Below are 27,524 nucleotides of genomic sequence, written 5' to 3'. Positions count from 1 at the left end.
TGCCCTTTTCACTGTCAGGAGAGCGCTGGGCTGGTCGTCCCACACTTCATGGTCCACAGCTCACGAGGAACTGTGTCTCCGCTCCTCAGTGGCAACCCCATGGCCCGTAAAGGTGCCTTGAGCAGAGAGAGATGCGAACAGCTGGTCCCCAGTGGCTGCAGCAGGAGGAGAGAGCAGCTCTAGGCCACCCCTTCCCAGCTGCCCAGCCAGAGGAGATCAGGCACAGAGCCTCACACCCAACTCAGCAAACCAATCCCTCCCATCCAGTGAGGGGTGAAGTGTGTTTAATGAATGCAAAGTCGTGCTATCCCTGGAATGGAGGCCAATTTGACTGCTTTATTCCCAAAATTATTTGAAGTAGCTTCAAGATTGGGATTAAAACATCCATCAAATCTGCAGGAAGGGGAAGGAGGCGTGGCTGCTGTGGGAGCAGCCTGCAAGAGCATGGCTAGATGGTGCCCTCGGGGTGCAGACGCGCATCAGATGGAAGGTGAGGGAGACTCCAGGAAACAAGGACAGGCAGAGGCCCAGGTGGGGCCTGGGGAGCAGGGACCCGGAAGTGCAGTGAGCAGGGGTTCCAGCACAGTTGGGGCTTCTGAGCATGTCAGGTGGGGCCAGGGGCAGTTCCCTCCAGCAGCCCAGGTGGAGTCTGTGGTCTTCTGGCCCCTCCATGCCTCCGTTCTCTTTCCAGAAGTCCAAAGTATGGGACCAGGTGACCAAAGCTTCGAGCCTTGAAGCAGGAGGGCCCGCCCAGCGGATGTAAATGCCTCCACGGCTGCCCCAGGCTGGCTCTCCCGCCTGCCCACCACCATTTTCAGAAACTGCTGGGGATCGAGGCACAATCAGGAGCTGGGAGGAGGTGCACTTGCACAGATATGATGTCCAGCACCCCAGACACGTGCCCCGGACTCTTTCCTTAACCCCTCGAACATTCGGAGGAGGCCCTGGTTCTTTCCGGATCATCTCAGATGGGCCCAGAACCTCCCTGCAGCCCCAGCACCTTCATGGGCCCTTCCAGGTGACGGCTGGTCCTCCTCACCGCAATGGGCCTGGGGTACAGAGCCCGGACCTTGGTTCATGTCCAAGCACCCGAGGCCACCGGGCGCTGCCAGAGAGGTCAGGAGCCTCTGTAATGAAGGAGCGGCCCCTCCCCCAGCCCAGGTGTGTTTTCACTGTGGTCCTCCTTTCCATCTGTGCCACCCCCAAGACCAACATGGTAAATGCAAGCAGCACCGTTCAAGGAGCCGCCAGCCGCCTCTGGCCTTCCCTTCTAAAAGGGGATGAAGTGCCTGAGCCCAGCTGATGAGAATCCTCACAGCATAGATTACAGTCAGAAGCTCTTAAAGATTTAGCATAACACAGACGAGATGCCTATCTCCGGGGGCCCTTGAGGAAGCAGCATCTTAAATAAAACCATCATACATCTTTCCTCCTGACAGCAAGACAGGCAGCATGGGCCAGAGCGGGATCGATCCCTCCTCCCACGTAGATGGGTCCTGATTATTCCCTTAAAAGATGTCAGATGCTGAACAACAAGACATAAACTCCTGACACTGTCTTGAGATGCTTTTTCAAGATTGCTGCAAATGGAAGGCAGGAAAAAACAAACAGAGCCATAGTGATCAGGGCTTCAGAAGCACCTCATGGAAAGAACACCAGAGCTGGCGGCGGGCCAGCCTGTGTGGCTTTCGCCTTCTGTGCTTGAGCCCGACAGCCACCCCAGGAGAGGGGAGCATTCTGGCTCAGCCGGTGCACGTTAGGTCTAGCTGCCAGCTGCCTGCACTGCTTCCCAGAACCTGCCTGCCCTTGTCCGGGGCTGGGGAAGCACAGGACATGGCTGAAGTCTAGACTTCAGCAAAAGGTAGAACTGAGAAGGAATTGAGAGTCTATGGGATCCCCTGAGCACACGCAAACGCACACAGCAACAGGCCTTCGAAGCGGGGTCCTAGGGCACATGCGCTGGGTGTGTCTGTGGCCCAGGGTGACACAGCTCAGCACTCTGGGCACCCCACCCTTCCAGCTCAGGGCGCCTGCTGGGGGTGCCTGCACTGACTCTCCCAGTAGTCGCTCAGGAACAGTTACTAAAATGGATCAGCCCCTCAGCTTTGTGGAGGTAGGGGGACATCCCCTGACCCCTTTTTGGTAGGCTCTGGCCCCAAGCTCAGAGAGGTGTCTCCTTCTGTTTCTGCCTCTCTTGCCGGGAAGAGAAGCTGCCCACTGGCAAGTGAGGTCCAGGCTGTCCAGGCCCCACCTGGAGGAGCTGCCCACCCCTCATTTGAAGTCCTTCATCAAACTTCTGGAAAGTGCCCCATGGCAGGAGCTCAGGGGTCAGCATGGAGCAGTGGGTGTCGCCTTCCTGGGGACCACACCGACAGCAGGAGACTCGCTCACCATGAGTGAAAAACGAAAGAAGCTCTGCGTGAGTTAGACAAGGGTCTACCCAGCAAGGAGGCCTCATGCCCCGGCCCCAGGCCCCAGGCCCGCTGCAGGGCCCCGAGTTCTGTGCACGGATGGCTTTTGACGTTCACCCAGATTTTCACTCCACATCCTTCCTGCACATGGCAGATAGCTTTCCATTCCCAAAACGCACAGAGAAGGACCCAGTTCCAGTGGTAAGAGCTGAGGTGAATAGCTGTCTCCACTGGCCACCTCCTAGCTGACGGTGTGACAGTGACTGCTGGGCCCAGTTGCCTCCCCAGCGTGACCCCCGGGAGACTTCACCCAGAACTGTCCAATCGCCTGGAAGCTGGGGCTCACCAGTCCAGCCCAAAGCACTTTGTCGTGAAGGTAGAGGCATGATGGGGAATTTACATGAAGCCACAACCATTTTCAGAGCTGCAGTAACAGTTTCTCAAGTTTCGAGGCACCCACCCGCTGCCCCAAATGTGAGACAGGAGTCCTGCGCGTCCTTAGTCCTCCGAGCTAGCATGCTGGTCCCGCAGCGTCCCGCAGCGTCCTGCAGGATGGTGGGACTGCGGGGGTGTGCTCCCGAGGCACCAGGCCACAAAGAAGACTCTGGTGTTTGCTGGAATCAGCAGTGATTGCCCCAAGTGCCTGGGTCATGGCCCTCACCATCCTGACCGTAGAGCTGGGGCCTGGTGCCCTGGGGTATAGGGAATGAGACCCGGGCCTGGGACAGCTGTGAAGCAGGAGGTTTGCCCCACTGCACAGATAAGCGCAGCTATGGGACAGGGGTCGGGCTGACGCTTCCCTTGGGGCCAAAGACACCAAAGCACAACCGTCTCCTTGGATGGGACACCCTCTCCTTGCATGTCACTCAACTCTCTCTCTCTCTCTCTGTCTCTCTCTCTCTCCCCCAGCCTCCTGGGGAAAATCTGCTCTGTTAACTGGCAGGGTCATTGTCTAAACTCCGTTAGGCCCATGATGGCTAGTTTTGTATGCCAACTTGGCCAGGCTGTGGTGCCCAGTTGTTGGTTGCCCACCAACACCAGATGCTGCTGTGAAGGTAATTTTTAGATACGATTGACACTTACAGACCGCTGATTTTATGTAAAGCAGAAGCTCCCCCATGACGTGTGTGGGCCTCGTCCCATCAGCAGAAGCCCTTGGGCAGAAAGACAGGCTTCCCAGAGAAGAAGCAACTCTGCCTCAAAGCTGAATCCACCCTTATCTGAGTTTCCAGGCTGCCAACCCGCTCGACGGAGTTCACACTCACCAGCCCCACCATTCACGGTTCTGTTTCTGTCCTGTTCCCCTGGGGCACGCCGATGGACACAGCCCTGAACGTAGGGCCCTGGGATGAGGACTTGAATCTGGAGGAACAGCCATGCAGATGCTGGGTTTGCAAGTCTCGGAGTGCTCCCATCATTCCCCAATGGGCCTGGGTCTCCATAGCCCCCAGAGTAGGAGGGGAAATGAAAGCAAAGTGGGGCAGGGTCGGCGGGCAGCCCCTCTGGAGGCCTCAGGACAGTGCGGAGCCTCCCCTCCTTGTGGGGATTTTTGGGGAACGTTCCTATCAGGGTGGGGAGAGGGTGTCTTGTTCCAAATCAGAAGTTCACACCGCCCACCCGTGGTGTCACCCACCTCTGTGTGACCTTGGCTGTCTGCCAGCTGTGATGGTGAGCACTGGGATGGGCTGACCAGACACCCTTCTGGGACTGCATGTGGCATCACTGGTGCTGCAGGGGTGGTCTCCGCTGCAGAGAGTGGCCTCACCCAAGGGCACATCCTCCTGGGCCCCCCAAATCCAACGCCTGGCCAATGAGGGGTGTAAAGGCCCAGGCACCTCAGCCCAACTCAGCCCAGCCCTGGGGGGTCACTCTAGCCCCAGCTCCCGTGAGGCCAAGGCTGGTGTGGGGCCTCCTACGGCTGAATTTCTGCCTCTGCTGGGCCCAGCTTCCTTCCCTATCCATGGGGTTGCACTCCTCAGTTCACAGCCTGCACGCCACACTCCCTGCCAGAGTCGGGTTCCCGGACCAGCCTCAGCTCGGCCTCATGAGCACCACGAAGATGGCTGGGGCTCCCCAGTGTCTGCACCAGAGACTCCAGGCTTTTCTAGGGAAAAAATGCCACCCACCCACCCCACAATCCCATGGCCACCTTCCCACCTGCCTCCATCACCAGGGCCAGAGGGCATCTTGCCACGAAGATCCCATGGCTCAGAATCCTTTTCACCTTGGCAGCCCCATCCATACATCAGTGCAGGCTTCTGGTTCCCTGGGTGCACAGGTAAGACTGTCCCTACCACTCACTACCCCCCAGCCCAGCCCCACCCTCCCCTCCTAGAAAAATGGGGACAGTAGTGCCGTACCATGATGTTTCTGGAAGAATCCACTGAGCTGAGCTAGTGTGCCATCTCTCAGAAAGCACGCCCTGATCATGGCTGCAAATGCTGTTATGACAGGGGGCGGAACAAGGGCACCCACCGGCCGCAGGCCTGTCCATGCCTGCTGGACCCAGAACCAAGGCATCCCAAGCCCCAGCCCAGTGCCCCCTTTCATTCTTTCATTCACTCGACAAATGCTCATAAGCGCCTGCCACATGCAGGGCAAAATTCCATCTCCTGCAGACAGAGCCCCAACCCCCTAGAGCTTATTCTAGGGTGGAGGGCAGACGAGAACCCAGCGAACATGCAGTATCTGGTCAGAGTGGCACAAAGAGGGAATCACGGCACCAGGGTGGGGAGAATCTCCAGGAGGGGGCTCCGCAAGGCACAGGGAGGAGGCAGGTGCACTTCCTGGGCGTCTTGGAAGAGGTAGGGGCACAAGTGGGTGTGCAGAATGAGCAGGGAGAAGGGCAGGGGTTGGAAACTGTGGCCCTGAGGGGCCTCCCGGGCTCCAGACAGGTCTGGGCTACTGTCAGTGGGGAGAACCAGGTCAGCAGCTTATCCAGTCATGAAAACACACTTGTGTCCATGTGTTCAGCCCCGCATCTGGTACTTTGGGTCTGAATCCGGGCTGGGGGAGCAGGGAAGACAGTGCACGTCCCTTCCTCAGGTAGGAGCGTGGGCAGTGGCTGTGGCCGGAGGCCCCAGCTCTCATAGGAGCCACACCCTCTGGATGGGGCTGGCTGGGTGGGTGGGACCTTGGCAGGAGGGCAGGGAGCAACCCCAACCGTGGCCCCACAATGTCCACATGCTCTGGGCCCCGCAGCTCAGCAACACTCAGGACTGCCCCATGGAAATCCACCTGCCATGGAGATGCATGGGAGGGAAGGAAAGAGGAGGAGAGGCCCGAGGGAGGAGCCGTCCTGCAGAAGGGCCGTGCAGCAGGAGAGAGAAATGAAGGACCCCTGACAAGAAAGTCCCTCCCGTCCGCCCAGAGCCCCCTGAATAACCGGAGGGAGGCAGCTTGCTGGAGTTGGGGTTGGAGGACCTGGGCTTAGATCCCGGGTGACTTAACTTTCAGGAGTCAGTGAGCCTGAGCCTCCTCTCACTGGTAAGATGGGAACGGTGTCTGCCATACCTGTCACACGGGGGCAGCGGCGGGTGGCCACGGGGCGGGGGAGGGGGGCGATAAAAAGGTTGGTGACGTCACACCCCACCTGGCAGTGCCCCTTTTCCCTTCAAGAGCAGGTCACTGGGATGAAGCACACTGCTCTATCTTCCTTGACCTTGAATGATGCCTGCGGCACCCTGGGCTCCGTGCCCTCGGAAGGAGAAGCTACTCTTTGTTTTCAGGGGTGTGCTCCAAACACAGGTGTGGCCCTCATGCTCTGAAAGAAGTGAATCAATTCCCACAAGAACGCTGAGATCCAGAGACCTTCACAGCAGGATACAGAAGGGTCTACCCTTCAGAAACTCGGCAGATGCAAAGAGCTCTCCAGCAACTTGTAGGGCAAGCCATCCCGGAAGGACGTCAGATCCTGGCAGCTGTCATGCCACAGTAAGAACCTGGGTCTTGGAGTCCAAGAAAAGGGGTTAAGGCCCAACTCTAAGACTTCCTGGCCAGGAGACGGTGAGCAAAGAGCAAGGTCTCTGGCCTTCCATCTGCCACCCTGTGAAAGGAGAGGAGGTGCTTCCTCCACCAGCTGCTATGAAGATTAAATGAGATCATGGGGGTAAAATGCTTTGTACACTGTGACATGCGAATGTCGTTCTTAAACACCACCCCCACCCCGGGACCCCGAAATTGAAATCTCAAGAGCGTGAAATTTCATCTACCAGGCAGGATAGGAGGAAATGGGTTCTGTTCAATCCAAAGATGGCTGAGGGCCAGAGCCCCCATGCCTGAGGAGGGCTGCGGGGAAGGCAAGGGCCTGGACAGAGCCCTCCCTGTAGCCTGGAAGAAGAGCCCATTCTGCCTCCAGGTCCTGTGTTGGGGGATGGCCCTCGGCACAAGAACTGTGCCTGACACGCGGGATCTCAATTGTTGGATGCATGAAGGAATGGGTCATGTTTTCTGAAAGGTCTCGGGCCCAGCACCGGAGGTCGCCCTGTAGGGGCTGCGGGACTGTCTGATGGAGACCATCTTCTGTCAGGAGGAGCCTGATGCATATGTGAGTCCCCCCACCCCCACTCCCAGTGCCAAGGTACAAGGAATGGCAAGTCTGAAACAGGAGAGAACAGCCAGGGTTCTCAGCCACATCTCCCTGCAGCCAGCATGGGCATAGCTGACGAAGCATGGGTGTGATCTGGAAGCAGCTGGGTAGAAAAATCACAAAGAGCCTTGGCCCTTCATAAGCACGAAACCAAGAGATCTCATGCCCATCAGCTCACTGTTGATCGCTTGGTTTAAATATCTTTCAGGGCAAAGAACCATCAGTGCACCTCAGTGTCCAAGCAGAGTAACTGTGTACTTCTTAGCAGGTGCACCAGCAGAACAGCAAGTCCCCCCAGAAATCACAGAAATGAAAATGCAAATGGCAATAAATGCAAGTGTCACTAATGCCCACCTCCATCAAAACCAAATATTCGTAAACCAATCATATATTCGTCTGTTCTCATATTGCTGTAAAGAAATACTTGAGACCAGGTGATTTATCAGGAAAAGAGGTTTAATGGGCTCACAGCTCTGCAGGCTGTACAGAAAGCATAGCAAGGGAGGCCTCAGGAAACTGACACTCGTGGGGAAAGGCGAAGGGGGAGCAGGCAGGCGAAGGGGGAGCAGGCAGGCAATCATGTGGCCACAGCAATGAGAGAGATAGAGAGAGAGAGGAGAAGGTGCCACACGCTTTGAAACAGCCAGTCTCATGAGAACTCACTCTGCTTCACGAGAACAGCACCAAGGAGATGGTGCTAATTCATGAGAAACCGCCCCTGTGACCCAATCACCTCTCACCAGGCCACACCTCCAGCACTGGGAATTACAATTCTACATGAGATTTGGGTGGGGACACAGAGCCAAACCATACCGGTTCATTAAAAACCTAGCTTTGAGCAACACTAATTCATTCAACAAATATTCTTGAACAACTACTATGTGTCAGGTTTACATTCTAACAAGCAAATAATCAAGAAAATACGAGTTACCTCCTAGAACTCTAAGTGCAATGTGGCTGTGTCAGGACAGTCACGTCCACCTCTGAGGAAGAGAAGTCCATCACTCTAGTTTTGAAATATATTATCTGGGCTGGGCGTGGAGGTTCATGCCTATAATCCCAGCACTTTGGAAGGCCAAGTCGGGTGGATCACTTGAGGTCAGGAGTTCGTGACCAGCCTGGCCAACATGACAAAACCCCATCTCTACTAAAAAATACAAAAATTAGCCGGGCATGGTGGTGCGCACTTGTAATCCCCGCTATTTGGTAGGCTGAGCCAGGAGAATCACTTGAACCTGGGAGGCAGAGGTTGCAATGAGCCGAGATCACACCACTGCACTCCAGCCTGGGTGACAAGAGCAAAACTCCATCAAAAAAAAAAAAAAAAACAGAAAGAAAGAAAGAAAGAAAGGAAAGAATTCTATCATCTGTAGCCATTCCCGAACAATAATGAGACTGTGGGACAACTGCCTGTCAAGGTCACCTCAGGCTGGGGGAGGCAGAGGCCCCCAACTTTTAGGGGAGGATTATACTTCGGTTTTTGCAGGGGTCTTAAAGCTCATGTTGTTATCTATTCCTTTTCATAAATTCAAGGACAGCCAGAAGCCTCTACCACCAGTTGTGTCACTCCATTCAGGCTCCTAGGACAAAATGCTATAGACTGCGTGGCTTAGAAACAACAGACAGATATTGCTCACAGTTCTGGGGGCTGAGAAGTCCAAATCAAGGCACCAGCAGTTCCTGTCTGCGAACCCACTTCCTGGTTCATGGACAGCGCCTTCTCACTGCGGCCCCACGTGGTGGAAGGGGCAAAGGAGCTCTCTGGGGCCTATTTGATAAAAACACGAGTCCCATTCGTGAGAGCAGATTCCTCATGACCTGATCATTGCCCAAAGGTCCCACCTCCAAATACTATCACACTGGCGATTAGGTTTTAATGTATGAATTTCAGGGGGCCACAAACGTTCAGTCTTTCACACAGCCTTGTGTTATCCCTAATCAGTCTCTCCATTGCATGGTCTATGGTCGAATGGCCACTTCTGCAAGCTACAAGCAAAAGTTTGCCCTTAGAATCCTAGTTGTGCAGTTGCCCGCATGGGTGGAATGTCCAGTAAACCACAGGTGTGCACTAGGGAGAAAGAATTGTTCTATTAGGACCCAGCCACACAGCCTTGAGCTGAGGGACTGAGATGCTTGCTTCAGTGTTTCCATGACCTTCAGGATAAATCTCAACTGCCTAAACTTGTAGATAGGATTCTGCTTCTGGCCAAGATTTCATGAGGGGCAGCAGCAGGTTTACCTTCCTGCCTTAAGCAACTAAAAACCAAAAAAAAAAAAAAAAAAAAAAACTAAAAAACTAAAGAAACAATAGTTTTTTTTGTTTTGTTTTGAGACAGAGTCTTGCTCTGTCGCCCAGGCTGGAGTGCAGTGGCGCGATCTCAGCTCACTGCAAGCTCCACCTCCCAGGTTCATGCCATTCTCCTGCCTCAGCATCCCAAGTAGCTGGGACCACAGGCAACCGCCACCACGCCAGCCAATTTTTTTGTATTATTAGTAGAGACGAGGTTTCACCGTGTTAGCCAGGATGGTCTCGATCTCCTGACCTCGTGATCCGCCCGCCTCGGTCTCCCAAAGTGCTGGGATTACAGGCGTGAGCCACTGCGCCCGGCAAAGAAACAGTAGTTTTTAAGACATTGGACATCAGGCAACAGAGGACAGCAGTCCTTGAGATAAGAATCAAAAGAAGAGAGGCCCATGGTTACCTCTAGGCTGCAGGACAGGGAGGGGGCTCAAGCAGAGCCTGAAGACCCCCTCTAAGCGGCGGGGGGTGGAGGCTGATGTTCAAACAGACAGAGAAGGCTGGTGTTCTCATGCCAGAGTCCTGGAGAGGAGGAGCTGCAAAGACAGAACTCCAGAGAGCTGCAGAAGGCCCCCCAGGCCTCCGCCTCATTCCCATAAATGTATGTGAGGAAACTGCCCAACCCTGGGGAAAGAGCCACTCGAAAGGAGTAGAGGGAAGCATGCCTGAAACTCACGCAGAGTCAGGGGTGGCCAGGGTGGAAGACTTTGTCATTCGTAGGCCATTGGGTTGAAAACACAGAGGGTTTTGCCTCAGGAGTGGGGCAAAATTCACCCTAGAGTAAATGCTTCCCTGGTCTCACCTAACAAAGCAACATCTAAAAGGGTTAAGCCATTTCCAATAATTTCACTGTCTCCTGGAACAAAACCCAAGAATACTCACAGGACTACAGAAATATCCAGCACCCAACAAGGCAAAATTTACAACGTCTGGCATCCTGTGAAAAATTACCAAGCATACAAAGAAGCAGGAAAATATGACCCACAGTGAGGAGAGAAACCATTTGAAATCAATTCAGAAATAACACATAATTAGATAGAGATAATAAAAGAATTACTATATCTGTTTGTTCAAGAAGCTAGAGGAAAGACTGATCATGTTAAGCCATGGAAGATACCAAAAAAAGTAAATAAACAACCAGGAAACTTCTAGAGGAAACAACAATGATGTCAACCCTAACTCTGACATGAAAACCACCCTGGAGGGATTAGCAGCAGATGAGACTCAAAGGGAAAGACGGGCGAACTGAAAACAGAGCAATGGGAACTTGCACCAGTGAAACACAGGGGGAAAAACTAGTGGAAAATCACAGAACGTCAGTGAGCTGCAGACAAAGCTCCACCCCTCTGCACCAGCCACCCCGGCACCTGCCTGGAGCAGAAGGTGGGCACAGCCAGGGGCCATGTGAAGACGGGGAAAGCTCTGTTTGGAGACCTCAGTGTAGGTCTTGCCCGAGCTGCTGCTGTAGGCCTGCCTCGCCACCAGCTGCCCTCAGAACTGGAGTCCCACTGCACACACGCACACACACCCATATATATGCACACATGTGTGAACACACACGTACACGTTTGCACACACCCACACACATATGTGTACATTATGCATGCACACGTACACGTGCATTTACATATGTACTTATGTGCATGCACACATACATATGCATACATCACATGCACGCACTCTTATATGCACGCATGTGTAAGCATACATGTATACATGTGCACACACCCACACACATATGTGCACATCATGCATGCACACATACAAGTGCATTTACATATGCACTCATGTGCACGCACATATACATATGCACACATCACATGCACATACATATGCACACATCACATGCACACACTCATATGCACAAGTACACAGAGCCACACCATATCACCTCACACATGCACGCAGAGCACGCATACTCGAGGTGATATGGTTTGTCTCTGTGTCCCCAGCCAAATCTCATCTCAAATTGTAATCCCCACGTGTCGGGAAAGGGGCCTGGTGGGAGGTGATTGGATCATGGGGGCGGAGTTCCCTTGCTGTTCTCGTGCTGATGAGTGAGTTCTCCACGGATCCGATTGTGTGAACATGTGTGGGGCTTCCCCCTTTGCTCTTTCTCTCTTTCTGTCTCCTGCTCCACCCTGTAAGAAATGCCTGCTTTCAATTGCCTTCCGCCATGGTCGTAAGTTTCCTGAGGCCTTCTAGCCATGCTTCCTGTTAAGCCTGCAAAACTGTGAGTTAATTTAACCTCTTTTCTTCATAAATTACCCAGTCTCAGGTAGTTCTTTATAGCGGTGTGACAGTGGACTAATACATGAGGGCACCCACGCGCTGACGTGGGCACCTACGCACTGACGTGTGCACACACTCACGTGTGCACACACTCATGCACACATACACCCCTGCATGGAGTGTGGAAGACCCTCAGGTCAGATTGGGAGACTGCTCCTGGGTGGCTGCTTCCGGAGACCCACCTGTGTTAAGGGTCACACTGAACCTGCAGGGAATCCTCGAAGTGAAGACTCCACCCCCGCAGCTGGTGAGCTCACACAGCCTGAGCATGAGACGAAATCAAGGGTGGCTTTAGTTGGCCAAATCAACACAGACTGGGTTAGGGCACCTGCCCGTGGTGCAGCCGGGAGAGGCCGAGGACACCAGAGAAAGGCCCCTGCCCACCTCAGCCCAGGAGAGGCCAGGGAGGGTCGGGATGACCACAGAGCAAGCTGGCAACAGGCACCCCTTTCCCTCGGCGAATCAGGAAACACCCTGAGTGGGAAGATGGGCAGGGACCGGCTGCCCCAGGCTGGAGCGTGAGGAGGGTGCAGGGCGTTGGCCAAGGTAGGGAGTGGAGGAGGCTCTGCTGGTTCATTAAGGAAAGAAAGCCGCAGTTTTACCCACACACACGTCCATACAGAGAGGTGCACCAGGGAGGCTTCCTCTGTTATCACCGCTGGAAATCAGACTTAACACTGTGCCCTGGGACAGAAAAAAGATTCCATTTCAAATCTCATTTCAAGAGAAACACAAAAATAAAGAGAAAGAAATGAATTGCTAATTAAATCCTCTTTAAATTTAGTTTAAGATTAAACGGAAACTTATGGAATCTGCAAGCTGGCATGAGGCACATTTTTTCCTAAAAAATGCTAATTTGGAAGTGCTGGACTCATTTAGCCCCAACTTGATACTGCTATTCTGAATAGCATGCTCTCGGGGAGATTCCGCATGAAGCTGGGGTGTGAGCTTTATTTCTGGAGGATGTCTGCCTCTCCCAAAGAAAGGATGCAAGGAAGGCCACCGCAATGAAGTCGGTTCACTGCATAAACCCTGCACCCAGAGCCACGTCCAGAATGAGTTCAAGGGAATAAAGATGACCCAGTGGGCCCTGGCTCCACACGAGGGGCAGGTGACCAGCCATGGAGACTCGCAGAGAGAAGGGAGGCTGGGTCCCAGGGCACCACCGCCACAGGGCGCTGCAGCAGCCAAAGGAGGGGCAGAAGAGGAAGCAGAAAGGGGGGACCTTCCCCTACCCACACGTCTCCTCTGAAGGGACTCAGCAAGAGGGGCGTGCTCACTCCCCAGCCGCTTCCCCACCATCCTGCACCCTACAGCTGCCTGGAGCTGCACAACCCAAGCCCTCCCTGCTCCAGCCCTGACCCCGGCTCTGGAGCAGAAGCCCTGCACAGGCCGGCACAGGCCCTGGCCTTCCGACACCTCCCCTCCTCCCAGCCTCTCCGATTCCTCACTCTCTCCCACTCCTGATCCTGCCGTCCTCCAGCCCGAAGGCTGGTATGTGCACACGTGGCCCATGTGTCCCCATGGGTGGGTGCAAGTCGGTGGGTGCATGTGTGTGTGCACGTGTTTGTGTGGTCACTGCTTCACCTGTGTGCACGTGCTCACATATACATGCGAACAGGTGCACACCTGCATGTGTTTTCAGTGAAATATTTTAATCAAGTACATAAAAACCAAACCATATATACTTTTATTTTTCAAACTTTTTATTCTAAAAATTTTAATGATTTATTAAAATTTGTGGCAAAATACAACCTATAATAAATGTTGACATTTTAAATCAAAATTACTTTAGTAAAGCTGACTTTAATTTAAATTTTTGAAAATTAAATCACTACTTGGAAATGACATTTTGTTTGGCAAGAATCACTTCCACTCATGGTCTCTGAGAGGGAGGTTGGCCCGGTTAATATATCTGTTTTTTTACCTAAGCACTTGGGCCACCAAATCCTCTCAGCTCCCTGAAACGTTTCCATCCAAGTCAGCAGCCGATGTCCTGCACAGCCAAACACGGCCACCTTTTGTCTGCAGGCACCCGGCCGGCCTCTGTGGCCTAGACCCCAGGTGCGCCTTCACACACAGAGTGTGAGCGTGCACCGTGGGGGTAGCCGCCGCGTGGGGCTGCCCATATGTGTATGCGTGTGCGAGGGTGCACGTGTGTGTGGACACTTTGCTCAGCTTCGTCTCCAGCTCATAAGGACATGCGCTCTGAAGGGTTTCCTGGCACCCTATCCGGTTCCCTCCCTTGGGCACATCCCTCTCACTGAGCCCCAAAGCCCAACACTTCGTCCTGGGAGGAGGCCGCTCTGACCGTGGCTCTCCCCAGGGAGGAGGTGCTGCCCTCCAGGAGGAGGCCCCTGGGCTGTCTGGGCCTAGCAGGCTCTTCTCCCATATTGGTAATTTCAAGCCTTTGGGGGCTGCTGTGTTTTCTGTTTGGCTTTGTTTTTTAGCTTTTGGTAGTAGTTATTAATGTTTTTCATTTCCTCAAAAATGACAGCTGTTGCGATGGTAATGGAGCTCATTGTTACTATTCAGCATCTGGAGAGGCAGTTTAGCACCTGCTAATAAAGACGCCTCACTTGAAGTTTGGAGAAAATGACCGGATTCCCCAGTGTCATTATGTCACTCTGGCAAGTGGAAATCATGAAGGCAGAGCCTGAGGCGGGGCCTGTCTGAGGACTCGCCACAGCGTGTTGCCTGTCCCTGCGGCTCAGCGGACGTGCAGGAGGGCGAACGAGCGCTGTGTCCACCTCGTCCACGTGACGTTTCCTGTAAGATTTTCAAACCTTTCCTTTCAAGATTTTCAAGACGTGCTGCAGCACACTTGGGTTGCAGGACAGAACACTAAGCCAGATCCCGGGGAAAACTAGGCGCGGGCCACTCTAGGTCTGGGACTGTGGGGGGCCACGAGGCGGGGACCCCAGAAACCAGGGGACGGCTATGGCTGTGGAACATCCCGAGCTGGGTCCTCACAGCATCTGCCCTGCGGTGAGTTAGGAACCGCCTTACCTGACTGCCCTTCCCTCCACAGTCATGGGCCCTGCAAGCTCCGCCTCTCTTCTGCTCACCCCTCAATGGCAGAAACTCGAGACCTTCTCCCACGGCCCCTTTGCAATCAAGGGCTCTCCATGAGCCATATTGAGCCAATGTCTGTCTTCCTTGCGTCTTTCTCCTCCTCTGCTTGGTGGCTCAGGGAACAAACCCAACAACCTTTATGAGCAGGAGAGGAGCTGTGTGTCCCCAGATCCCCGCTTCTCCTGGCCAGATGGCAGCAGCCCCGCCGTGATGCCCCCCGCCCCCCACTGCCTACTGGACCGAGGGATGGAGTCCACTGCCCAGATCAAGTCCTAAGCACCCCCAAACACACACCCCCTTTCTGGAGAAATGAGAGAGGAAAGGAAAAGAGAAATGAACTCTCAAGCAGACCCGTCACCCACCAAGCACCCGGCAGTGCAGGTGACACCCCCTGCCAGTGCCGGGAAGCCAGTGCCAGCCTTGGATCTGGGGTGGGAGCCAGTGCCAGCCTCCGATCTGGGGTGGGTGACCCATGGTCACCCTGGGCATGGGGAGGACACAGCGACCCTGATGGGACTCCTGCTGTGGGGCCCCTTGTCATCCATCCACCTGCAACTGAAGACACGTAGCATGATCTCATCTCTCTGGCCCAAAGTGATTTCCAAAAAGCTGAGAGGGTCTCTGGCAGGAGGGCAGAGTGAGCTAATCCTGACTCTAAAAACATCAGGACTGGAAACTCTGCCTGCCAGCAGACCTGAGGGGTGGAGGGGCAGAGGGGCGGTGCGGGAGATGGACAGGTCAGGGTCCTTCTCATGGATGGACGAACAGAGCTCGGGTGTCTCCTCCCACCCCGACCACAGGGCTCTGAAGTCAGGGCAGTATCCCCACAGGAAATGACGGACAAAATGTGGTTGCTAAGCCCCGTCCAACAGGCCTGCCCAGGGCCCCGGAGAACAGGACACCCCACAGAGCAGGTGAGCTCTCCACCTTAGCTCCCAGCACTGCAGGCCCCCACCACCTCACACCTCAGTGTCAGACTCTAGCTCTCTGTCTTTCTCTCTCTCTTTCTCTCGCTCTCTCTCTCTCTCTCACACACACACACTCACACACACATGCTCTCGAGTTCTCTCAGATCACTGATAACTGGGGTGACAGGCCTCACCTGGGAGAAGTAAGGACTTCTTTTCAAAAGGAGCACACAGTCCTCGAGTTTCCAAACCCACAGCCTGCTGTGGCATGCCGGTGCCAGCTCCCACCGCCTGCAGGAATGGATCACGGGTGTCTCTTTCCAACTCCACGCCAAGTGAGCTCACGTGGGTGGCTTGAAACCTGCCGTGGTGGGAGTGTTTACACTACAGAAATTGGCACAAGGTAAAAACCAGGCCCTTTTTCTTCTGGAGAGCTGGTTGCTAAACACTCAGTGGCACCCCACCGGCCTGGGGCCCCCGGAAGGCTCTGGCCTGGTGTCTAGGGCTCTAAGGACACCAAGGTCCTGCCACCGTGGCGTCTTCTGTGCAGGTGGCCTCTGTTAATGCAGAGGCCATGACCTCGTGCTGCTTCCACTAAGGCCGTCTTGAGAAACAAGAACAGAATTGGCGGTTCCCAGGGAGAAATAACAGACAGGAAAACAGATCTGTGAAGGCGGAAAATTTACCTTTCCTTGCAGCACAGGTCAGCACTGCCCTGAGTGGCCGTTTTTCTGGCCGAATGCTCGAGTTCTGGGACCGCTGTCTGGATTTCTCAGAGGCCTTCTCCCTGTCTGTGGCTGTGTCCCAAAAGTTCACCTTGCTGTGACCGCCAGGAAGAGGCTTTTCTATATGCAATCGCTCTTCAACAGTAAAAGCTTTGTTGTAAAATGTCAAAGATAGCAGGCGTCCTTTTAAGGAAGTCCCCATTTATCGAGTACCAGGCTCATGCCCCTATTGTTTGTACAATTAGGGGGTAAATATTTAAAGCAGAACTTAGACACCCCCTGAGAATGAGCCGGCATCATCTGTGGCGTGTGTGCCTGTGCGTGTGTGGAGATCGTCAAAGCTGTGCTTCCAGCGTGTGAGCGTGCGCCACCCGGGCAAAGCCCAAGCCCATTCGAGCGGATTCATCGTGTTCGAGGCTCGCAGAGTCTTGACCACAAGGAAAATCTTGTTTTTGAGCAATAACCCTTCAGAACGTTGCATGTTAGCACCTTTTGGAGGTTGTCAGGAGACACTTCCTAAATAGGATCTGGGGAGGAAATGGAACCCGCTCAGGCCAAAGCTCAGCTTCGATATTGGATTTTCTGGGGTGAATCAGATTTGCTCGGTCCTATGAGGACTCACAGAGGCTCACCTTGCCCAGCAAGGAGCCTACGCTTTTGAGATGCAGAAAATCTTTAAAATGTTGAGGCTCTTGTATCCTAGGAGAATTTTCTTCTCTATCAAAGAAACCCAAGACATAGGCCCGTGTGGGCAGGAGGGCATAGTGGGGTCAGAAGATTAGAGTGGAGGGCCAGCTGTCTGGCGGTGTGGCTGTGGGCAGGTCTGCAGCCTCTCTGAGGCGTGTTCTGTGGGTATCTGGGGCCTGTTCTAGCACCACACGCCACGAGTCTGCCACCCTGCCTTCCTCAATGAGCTGCGTGCAGTCAGGGGGCCAGCAGGGGTGGGCACCAAAGGGGCCCAGGGACTGAGGATGAAGCCCCACATGGAGTTCTGTGGACCTCCCTGCCCGGCACCCCAGCTCCACTCCTGCCATCCCGGTGGACACTGGACACCTGTCCCTTCCCCTCTGGGGTTCCTGGGCTGTGGGGTTTGCTGCATGGATGCCAAGATGAGCCATTTCCACCCACCCCCATCAGACGCCACCCTCCCACCACGGGTGAGCTCATCTAGGCTGGTCCCTCTCCCTTTGGGGCGGCCTCTGCCCTCCGTGCATCCCGCAGCCAACATAGCCCATCTAGGCTGGTCCTGGCTCTGCCTTCCCTCTCCCTTTGGGGCAGTCTCTGTCCTCTGTGCATCCTGCAGCCAACATAGCCCATCTAGGCTGGTCCTGCTCTTGATGGAATAAGGTAGGCTTCAGAGACCCCCACTGGGAAAACATCCATCCATCTACCCAGGCCTTGTTCCAGCATCAGAGCTGCCGCCGTGAGCTGAGCAGATGAGTCCTGCCCTCGAGAGCTTCCGGGAAGGAGGAAAACGGAGAGGGAGCCTGCCTCCCACACAGGAGAAAGGCCACCAGGGTGGAGGCTTGGTCCGTCCCCTGTTCCAATGCTGTCTTTGGCTCCTCCCCACCCCATGCAACAAATCAGAGCGATGCCAGTAAGTGCAGACCAGGGTGACCGGCAGGCACTTAGAATTCCCCTTCCTGTGGGCTGGATGCTGGAAGGCACCCAAACCGAGGGCACATGAGCACCTCTGAGTGGCCTCTGGCGGGAAGCTGGATTGGCCTCCCACAGGTGTCTGGGCCTCTCTGGGTAAAGCGATTCCATGTGATTATTCAAGAGCTGTGTCTACGCTTGCAGAATCAACACATGGGCTGCCACCTCGATGACCCAAAAAGAAAAGGCAAGGGTGGCAGTGCTTCTGCAGGCTCTCATTTACTCATCCGATCGCTGGATCCCTTGGGAACCCACCGCCTGTTGGCAAGGGTTTGCTGAGCTCCCCATGGGCCGGGCACGCTGCCAGGTGTGCACCACCAGCATCCAGGGCCACAAGCTGGAGAGACAGGCACTGCAGAGGCCTAGGCCATGGGCTGGAGAGATAGGCACAGTGGAGGCCTGAGCCACGAGATGGAGAGACAGGCACAGCGGAGGCCTGGGCCATGAGCTGGAGAGATGGGCACCACAGAGGCCTGAGCCACGAGATGGAGAGACAGACACTGTGGAGGCCTAGGCCATGGGCTGGAGAGACAGGCACTGTGGAGGCCTGGGCCATGAGCTGGAGAGATGGGCACCACGGAGGCCTGGGCCACGAGATGGAGAGACGGGCACCGCGGAGGCCTGAGGACATGATAAGGTACACACCAGGGTCTGGCATCTGGCAGACGGCAGAGCTGCTGAAGGCTCAGGCCACAGGAGAGGGTCCTGAAGGCATGAATGAGCAATGAGATCCTTCCCCATGAGCCCAGCCTGCCCCGCAGCCTCAGGAACTGGGTCAGTCACGCGGCTTCCATCCAACTCAGACGCCCCCACTGGCCACCTCACTAAGCCTCTTGGTCTCCATCCTTTCCTTGGATTCTTGCCTCTCTCACCTGTAGCCCAGATTTCGGTTCAAATCAGCAAGCTGTCGATGCGGATTTGCCCGCACTCATTCATTCAATGGCTGCACCCTACAGTGGCCGCACTGTGGAAGTGCTGGAGCAGAAGGAGCTGGGCAGGGCTGCAGCTGGGGGGCTCTGCAGCCATCGGCCCAGTGGCCACAAAGGGCCCTCCCCACAGAGGGTGGAGCAGGGCTAGGCTTGCACGACATATAAACAGGGACACAGACCAGTCCACCCCGGACCAAGAAGGTTGCAGCAGCCATTCCAATGGGGTCTGGTGTCACCAGGACCTGAGGCCCTCTCTCTCTCCAGCTGTCCCTCCTACCCCTCTCCCTCCCTTGCCCCTCCCCCTGTTACAACACCAATCTCCCACTCCCCACACTGGAGGAGCAGCCTCAGTCCCACGTCCAGGAGAACATTGGTCCCATCCTGTCTCCTTGTCCTTAGCTCACCGGAGGGCACCAAACAGAAAGAGAATCCAACCCAGAACTCCCTCTTTATCTGCCTTCCTTGCCCGCCTCCAAACCGGAGTCAGAGCCATTCAAGGAGGATGGAGAAGGCAATTTCCCGAGAGCCTGCAGGTTCTTCTCACCCGCGATGCCCATGTGGGCCCCACCTCAGCCTGCAGGGAAGTATTCTTAGAAGTTCCTTCTTCACGAAGTTAGGTAACTTGCTCAAGGTCACGTAGCCACCAGCTGAATAGAGGAAGGGAGAATCTACGAACACTCCAAGTCACGCTTGTAGCATTGTCCCGTGCAGTCTCTGTGTCAAACCAGGTAGTCAGTGGTGCTGTGAGCCGCCCGGGGCACTTCTCCAAGCTGGGAAGAGGCTCCAGGCTCGGAAGCCCCCTGAGAGCCCTCCCTGACCCACCCTCACCCTTGACCACCACTGAGGGGAATTTCTTCATTTTCTGTGCCTGAAGGTTCAAGAGGGAAGTCAAAAGTGGCTTCCAGTCAGCTTAATGGGGACGGGGTTTTCTCTGGGGGTGATGAAACTGTTTCGGAGCTTGACAGAGATGGTGGTTGCACAACACCGAGGATGTACTAAATGCTGTTGAAATTGACACTGCAAAAGGGTTCGCTTTATGTTATGTGAATTCCACCTTAAAAATGCTTTAACGTGGCTTCAAGACAAATCTTAGTGGACCTTACAGAGCATTTTGAGACACTATCAGCAAATGCCCACAGAGCTGGGCCCCCTGTGCCTCCCCGATCCCAGGTCCATGAGCAGAGTTAACCCTAAACCACCTCCTGAGCCACAGCCTGAAAGTAGCCCCCACCGACAGGGGAGGCAATGGAGTCCAAGGGTCCCTGAGGCCATGCCTCATGCCCACCACGTCCAGCAGAGTGACCGGAGCAGGTGCCTCAGTCCACGCCTCCCCAGGATGAAGAGAGGACAGCAGGGACCTTGCCAAGTTTCCCTTTGGGTGCAACAAGTTCTGTCACTTGTAAGCAGAGCATGAAGCATGGCTCTGTGGTCACTAGTAAAAGCTGGTGTGTGACACGAGGGTGGGAACTGGGAGCAGAGATGCCAGCACCTCCTGCGTCTGCCTCAACATCAGCCACCTCCTCCTGCCCTCTGTTGCCCTGACTGCCCATCTCAGGACTTCCTCGTCCTCGGTCTTGTTTATGAGCCTGTGGCTTTGAGGACGCTCAGTCCGTCCTCAGAGCCAAAGCTCTGGCCCTGGGAGAGGAGCGGGAGGCTTCAAGCTTCTACACAATGGAAAAGCAAAGATGAAATAAGAAAATTCCTCTCGGTCCAGGAGTCTGTGCTGAAGAAATGACTCATTACAAACAGCAGAAACTTCAAGTTAGACAGATGGGGAGAAACTCTCTGAAATGTGCTTTTCTGCCTAATTTAGAATAATTGCAATCCACTACATTAGGGCATCAGGTTTTCAGCATCTCATGAAATGCTGAGGGTGAGAAGGGAGCATTTTCTGACAAATTAAGATCAAGCTGAAAAGGCCAATGTGCTGGCTGCTGTTCAGCCTTGGTCCTTCTCCCGCAGCTCCACGTGGCTGTAGCCAGCAACTCATCACAGGCAGCTTGCAGTCCGAAACCCACTGTGGGCTGATCAAAGACTGAAACCCTAGAAGGAGAGAAGGGAGAAGCAAGAGGTCCCTAGCCCACAGAACCTTGGGGACCGGCACAGCACCCTGGTCCTTCCTCTCATCCTACTCTCTGCCACCCACCCAAGCTGGGAAGAGGCTCCAGGCTCAGAACACCCCACCCCAAACACTTGGAGAGATGCTGGCCTCCGCTGCCTCGTGCCTTCCAAGAAATGAGGGTCCAAGCCACTCTTCTTCATCCAGATCTTGGCTCTAAACCTGCAGTGCACTCTGAGTTGGTTCCTGCTATCCCAGAGCCTCATTTGGCCTTAGACGCGGAGAAGGAGCATTTCACAGCTGGAACAGAACTCCCATGCTCCCAACCCCAGCATCCTTGGGCCACCGATGGGAAAGCTGAGACCCCCTCACCTTCACCCAAGGAAGGAAACTCAGTCAGGGTCACCAGAATAATGAAAAGCCAGGCTTTCTCCCGGACGCTTTGCTGTTGAATCTGCCCGAGAGCAGTGCCGGTGGAGCCAGGTGGCTCTGGGCCAAACCACCACTCGTCCCCATTGGATTTGTGCTGACTCCCACCCAATTCCAAAGAATTACATCAGAGCTGTGGAAACCAAGACCAACGAAGCACCACACCAGTTGCCATTCTTCTAAGCTCCAAGTCCTCTACGCAACTAAAGACTCAGGATCCTTCCACGTAAACCCAAGAACTGGGAAGCCTCAGCCATGGCCGGGGGACGTCAGAGGCCGGGAGCCACTGCCCTGCCGGCCAGGCCAGCAGCTCACCCAGCTGGAGATGTAAGGGGACAAGGGGACGGCCCCATGTCGACCTCCTCCACCTGTGTTGTTCCCATGGAATCGGGCTGTTTATGTCCTCATGCATTCCCATGCAAACAGGCCAGAGCAGATGGCCCCTGGGCCGTCGTGCCCACACCACTGCTGTGCGGTGAGCAGGGCCTGCCTCTGCTTTCTTGACTTTCCCTAAAGCTCTCCTGTGGTCCAGCCACCGGGGTTCAACCCTCAGAGCCCCCGTGTCATCCCCCTCCGTGTAGTTCAGGTTTCCCTTCCTGACAGGCACAAACATCTTCCAGCCTGAACATGAGCAAGACACGGTCCCACTCGGCGTTCATTTTCCTTGAACCTGGCCCCACCTCCCTTTGCAGTCCGGCCCAGATTGTCCTCATAACCTGGTGTGGCTCCACCTCCCGTTGCAGTCCGGCCCAGATTGTCCTCATAACCCGGTGTGGCTCCACCTCCCTTTGCAGTCCGGCCCAGATCGTCCTCGGAACCCGGTGTGGCCCCACCTCCCTTTGCAGTCTGGCCCAGATTGTCCTCGAACTGGTGTGGCCCCACCTCCCTTTGCAGTCCGGCCCAGATTGTCCTCGGAACCCAGTGCAGGCCTCATGCATGGCAAATATTCCACAAACACACGCGGAACTGAACATCACCATCAACGCATTGATCATTACCATTTAGTGAAATAATGAAGGCTGCCCTTTAAATTTGCATTTGTGTGGACCAATCATCAGTAGCCAAGTGACCTGCTGCCCTGTCTCTGTGGACCACAACTCAGGGGAGCCCCGAGCAGAGCCAGCTCCCCGAAGTCCTCCAATTGTTTACATTTACGTCACATGTGGAACTATGATCTGGGAAAGTTGGATGTGGCCAAGTCAGAGGAGCTGAGCCTGCCCTGGGCTGGCTGCAGAAGACTCGGAATTCACTGCCTGGTTGGACCCTCACTGCAGATTTGGGATGTAGGAGGGCAGGTGGTGGTATCCCCTGGAAGAGTGCTGGGAGGAGGCAGCTGAAGACAGGGGAAGGCTCCAGGTTAGTGGCACAGATGTCATGGGCCTGTCGTCAAGATAAAAGCAATGGGAATATGACGGACCATGTCAAGATCTTTTGTGTGGAGGCCGGTCCAGGGGCCACTCAAGACCTTAAGTACAGCACCTCCGTAGGAATTCTGCTGGGATGCCACAGGAGAGGTCGGACACTTCTAAGACCTCACTCTCAGCAAGACTCGAGTCTCTTACTGTGTTTCCCACCACAAACACCCCACGGGAGCTACACGACAATGACAGTGAAGGCTTGGGCCCCGCCACTTCTCCCTGCAGCCACTGTGCCCGCTCGGTCACTGGACCACCCTCTCAGGGGCACTGATGTGCAGAAAGTAATTGTGTGGAAACGGAGGGTGTGGGGAGGCTGTCTACAAACTGTCAAGGCAGAGCAGGTGTGCGTTCAGGGCAGTTTGGATTGGTATTGGCTCTTATGGGGTCCTCCTGACCACCTGTGCTTTGTCCTTTGCCCAGACTTGAAGTTAGTAGACCTGACCTGATGGGTGTCCTCACAAAGCAGGGTGTTCAGAAGGAGACCCACCACCCTCCACTGGGTGATTTCACCGCTGCCTGGGAGAGGCCATGCCGACGGGGAAAGAGCCCTGACCTTGGCCATCAGGACGCAGGGGCAGGGCCGGACACACTGTTCGCCTTGTACATTCATGAAGGGGAGCCCACGATAGGCGTTCCCACGGACAGGAGTTCGCCTCTCGGTACTCTGGCCCTGTGGACTCTCCTCCTTTGGGCCACAGCTCAGAGACCCCACACTGAGGTCAGTCCCATCACACACAGGGACACCTGCCACCGCCAAGTAACTGCTTCCTGCCCCAGGCAGGAGCTTCTTGGAGTGAGTCCTCGGCATGAAACAGCTCTGCCCAGGCAGAAGCCCTAATGACGGTTTGCTAAGCCAGAGAGACAGGGGTCCTCCACCCCAGGGAAGAGCCAGTCTTAGAGAGGGTACACCTGGTCCACCTTCAGCGGTGGCATCCCAGGTACCAAAGTGAGGCTATTTTGATGAGGTGTCTTTCAGAAGGGTGGGGCAGTCACTGATTGGCTGGCTTTCAGAGGGGCAGGGCTGTCATTCATTGGCTGGCTTTCAGAGGAGCAGGGCTGTCATTGATTGGCTGGCTTTTAGAAAGGCAGGCCTGTCACTGATTGGCTGGCTTTTAGAAGGGCAGGGCTGTCACTGATTGGCAGCTTTCAGAAGTGTGAGACTGTAACGGATTGGCTGGCTTTTTGAAGGCCGGGGCTGACACTGGCTGACTTTCAGAAAGGCAGGGCTGTGACAGATAGGCTGGCTTTCAGAAGGGCAGGGATGTCATTGATTGGCTGGCTTTCAGAGGGGCAGGGCTGTCACTGATTGGCTGGCTTTCAGAATGGTGAGGAGTCATTGATTGGCTGGCTTTCAGAAGGGTGGGGCTGTCCCTGATTGGCTGGCTTTCAGGAGAGTGGGGCTATCACTGATTGACTGGATTTTGTGTATTGGCAGAAAGCTGTTGATCAACTGGAATGGATTTAAATGATTCTGGTTAATTTTTTACTGTGGTCGAAGAACCGTGAGCCTTTTCCTAGGAGGACAGGCACTTATTCCTCGCACAGGTTTCAACAAGAACATTACGAGCTGCCTGCCTGGCCCACTGGTACATCTGTGAGCAATCTTAACCCATAATTGTAATGATTTCCATTGTTCTAGCTCCTCCCTGGATCAGGCACTGAGCATGACCATGTTTTTTCTTTATGGTTGTTACAGGAGCCCAACGTGCCTCACATACATGGTCTCTGCGGAGAGAACAACCTCGGTTCAGCTCCTGCCTCCCACACTTAATCTACGGGAACTTCTGTTTACCATCTTTAGGGTAGTGGTAATACTAATTCTTTCTGCAAGGACCGTTGCAACAATTCAATAAGACCACGGATGTGTGAGGGCTTCTTCAAGGAAGCCAGAGGGAGGGCCAGTGTGGCCACCGAGGCTCCTGTCTGTGGGTGGACACCAGCACAGGGGAAGCAGACGTGTTCCTGCCATTGTCAGATACAAGGCTGCAGTTAGGGGGTCCTGCCTAGTCCACTGGCTTGCTCTGAGCAGCTGTTCTTATTGAAGCACGTGCCCAGGAGACGGCTTTATTTCCCTCCCTCTCTCTGTTGTTAAGCAGTTCAAAAGTCACTGAGAGGTCAAGTCCTGAAGGCTATGTACAAAGAACGACTCTCCTGAAAAGATGGCCCCTGCTTCCCACAGCCCCACCGCTGAAGTCAGTGTTTGTGTTGGAGAATAATTAAAGCTGATCACGTTTTGTCCCTAACACGGAGTGACATCTTTTGAATCTCTGCATATTGCTGTTTTCACTAAGCCACATGTAACACTTCAGAGTGCCAAATGCTTTTTAAAAAATAGCCCTGGCTCTGAAAGAGTGCTGCAGAATAACTCTGATGGAATATGGCTTCTATGAAAACACAAAATGTTAATCACCCCCCCAAGAAAAAAAGAATTCAAAGAATTGTTTGAAAAGAGATGTTTGTTCTGGGCACGTATTTCAAGGGCAAAAGTGCTTGAAGAGGAGTGGCTTACGTTTGTTCTGGTTCCTTAAGATCTCCAGCCCAGCTCCCCAAACGGAGAGAAATGGAGACCAGTCTTGCTTTCTGCAAATTGGAGGCATCACCTGACTCTTGTGTGCTGTCCAGGTATGGTCAGGACTCATGAAACAAGAGGTGGCATTGGACACCTTGGAAGAGAAGCCATGCCCCAGGCAGACCCTTTCTCACTCTCTGCAGCCCTGCACAGGCCTGTGTTCCCGCCGACCACCAGCCTCTGTGAACTTCTGCTCCTTGTCCTGCCTCCCCAGCCCAGCCCTGGATTTTAGTGGCTACTGCGTACAAACCAGTTTCCAGCCTTAGCCAGTGCTCCTTGCTGCCCAGCCAAGAATCTACATACTCATCCTCTGTCCCCTTCTGGCTGCTTCTCCTTCCCCTCTGAGACAATTTCACCAGCCCCCATACTGACCGGAGCTGACCCTGGAACTCAACTGAAATAATAGAACCAGCAGGCAGTTCCCACTCAACGTGCTTCCCTGAGCCTGCCTGTCTCCAGGACAAAGCCACCTCTGCGCTCCTCATGCCCATCTTCTCCTGCCTTCCCAGGAACCTCACCCCATCAAGCACGCTTTCCCTCCTGAAATCTCCAGGTTCTCTTCTCTTTTGGCTGTTTCCCCTCATCCTATGTATACAATCCATTCTCTCCCATCTTAAAAACAAACTACAGAAACAGTAAAGAGATCAGTAGTTGCCACGGGTTCAGGGCAAGGTGGGAGGGATGAGTAGCTGGAGCCCAGGGCACTAGGGTGGAGGAATGCTTCCATATGATGTTGTCATAGTGGGTACATGACATTGTACATTTGCCAAAAGCCATCGATCTGTACCACATAAAGCACCAACCCTAAAGGAGACTATGGACTTTAGTTAATGATAAGGTGTCCACATGGCCTCATCAACTATGACGAAGACACCACACAAATGCAAGAGAATAATAAGGGAAATTGTATGAAGGGTGGTGGGTGGGGGGGGGTGGAATAATACAAGGACTCTCTGTACTTCCTGCACAGTGCTTCTATAAACACAGAAATGTTCTAAAAGATCATCTATTAAAAAAGCAAAACCGAACAAGACCTTCCCCTTGGTGGCTTTCATGTAAATGGCAGGGTAAGTATAGGTAGTTAGCTCCCCTTTCCAGAGTCCAAAGGAAATATTTTTTAAGCTAGGGAAGCCTGTACCACACAGAAAACTGACATCACTTGATTCATGCAACTTCCACTAGAAAGGTTCAGGTATGTCTGTACTGAAATAGAGGAAAGGTGGAATTATAACCAACGTTTCGCGGAAAGAGTAACTTGGTTCCAAATGAGGGAGATGAGAGACCCTGGTGTCACTCGCAGAGGCAGGAAGACAGGCAATGAACAGAAAGGCAGCCAGCGGGGCGTCCCCAGGACAAACACTGCAATGGGCTAGATTTCCTCAGGATGAGAAAGTCAAGGGGGAACGGAAGGTTTTTTAAGAGAAGCTACAAGGGCAGAAATAATCAACAAAAAGAAACCCACAAAGGTGAAGAAGGACTAGGTGAAGGTGAACACAGGATCGCTGAATTTCCATAACATAAAGCCTCAAAGAGCCGAGGGTGCCTGTGCTGCTGAGAACGGAAAGGAGAAGGCCCCGGTGGAAGCTCTCGTCACAGCCACGTTCCACGCCACAGGAGGGCGTTCCCAGACAGGCCCGATTTTAAGTATATGAACCGGGAACCCTTCCCCAGAAGACTTTTTAGAGGTATAAGCAATTCTGCCCAAAGGGCAGTCAACATTTAAAAGCTGAGAATAGAGAAGTCATTCGAAAAAAGGACCAACAGGAAGTATCGAAACCATCTACCTGTGGATTTCTGTCTACAAACCGGCTGTAAACGGCGACACGGCATGTAAACGCTAACAATAATGCTTTATTAAGGGGAATTACACTTACCAGTCACAATGCAGGCTCTGCTAGAAACAAATCCAGGATCACATCTATAAGAACCAGGTGATATTGCTGTCAGCCTAAAAAACCCAAGTGGTAAATTGAGAACTTCTCAAAACTAATAAACATGCTAACTGATATGATTTGGATCTGTGTCCCCACCAAATCTCACATCGAATTGTAATCCCCAGTGTTAGAGGTGGGGCCTGGTGGGATATGGGGGCAGAGTTCTAATGAGTGGTTTGCACCATCCCCTCAGTGCTGTTCTCATGATGGTGAGTGGGTGAGTTATCGTGGG

The 27,524-nt window shown here is 54.0% G+C and overlaps 1 long non-coding RNA gene across 1 annotated transcript, besides 4 other annotated features; it reads left to right on the top strand.

Moving 5' to 3' along the window:
- Nucleotides 356–1,027: an enhancer, noted in NCBI's record as "H3K4me1 hESC enhancer chr2:240441589-240442260 (GRCh37/hg19 assembly coordinates)". NCBI's record gives its function as "activates a minimal SCP1, AML or CMV promoter by ChIP-STARR-seq in naive H9 embryonic stem cells {active_cell/tissue: H9 hESC(naive)}" and the evidence as "EXISTENCE:reporter gene assay evidence [ECO:0000049][PMID:30033119]".
- Nucleotides 14,466–15,154: an enhancer, noted in NCBI's record as "H3K4me1 hESC enhancer chr2:240427462-240428150 (GRCh37/hg19 assembly coordinates)". NCBI's record gives its function as "activates a minimal SCP1, AML or CMV promoter by ChIP-STARR-seq in naive H9 embryonic stem cells {active_cell/tissue: H9 hESC(naive)}" and the evidence as "EXISTENCE:reporter gene assay evidence [ECO:0000049][PMID:30033119]".
- Nucleotides 18,528–19,027: an enhancer, noted in NCBI's record as "H3K4me1 hESC enhancer chr2:240423589-240424088 (GRCh37/hg19 assembly coordinates)". NCBI's record gives its function as "activates a minimal SCP1, AML or CMV promoter by ChIP-STARR-seq in naive H9 embryonic stem cells {active_cell/tissue: H9 hESC(naive)}" and the evidence as "EXISTENCE:reporter gene assay evidence [ECO:0000049][PMID:30033119]".
- Nucleotides 19,028–19,529: an enhancer, noted in NCBI's record as "H3K4me1 hESC enhancer chr2:240423087-240423588 (GRCh37/hg19 assembly coordinates)". NCBI's record gives its function as "activates a minimal SCP1, AML or CMV promoter by ChIP-STARR-seq in naive H9 embryonic stem cells {active_cell/tissue: H9 hESC(naive)}" and the evidence as "EXISTENCE:reporter gene assay evidence [ECO:0000049][PMID:30033119]".
- On the top strand, nucleotides 24,211–27,375 carry LOC124908011 (uncharacterized). Its single transcript, XR_007088272.1, has 2 exons — nucleotides 24,211–24,383; nucleotides 24,486–27,375. It is a non-coding gene; the product is annotated as an uncharacterized LOC124908011 (long non-coding RNA).
- Nucleotides 27,376–27,524: the final 149 nt, after the last annotated feature.

This window comes from Homo sapiens, chromosome 2 (genome assembly GCF_000001405.40).
Source record: "Homo sapiens chromosome 2, GRCh38.p14 Primary Assembly".
Lineage (NCBI taxonomy): Eukaryota > Metazoa > Chordata > Mammalia > Primates > Hominidae > Homo > Homo sapiens.
Note: the sequence above shows the minus strand (reverse complement) of the source record. Positions and strands in the feature narration are given on the sequence as shown.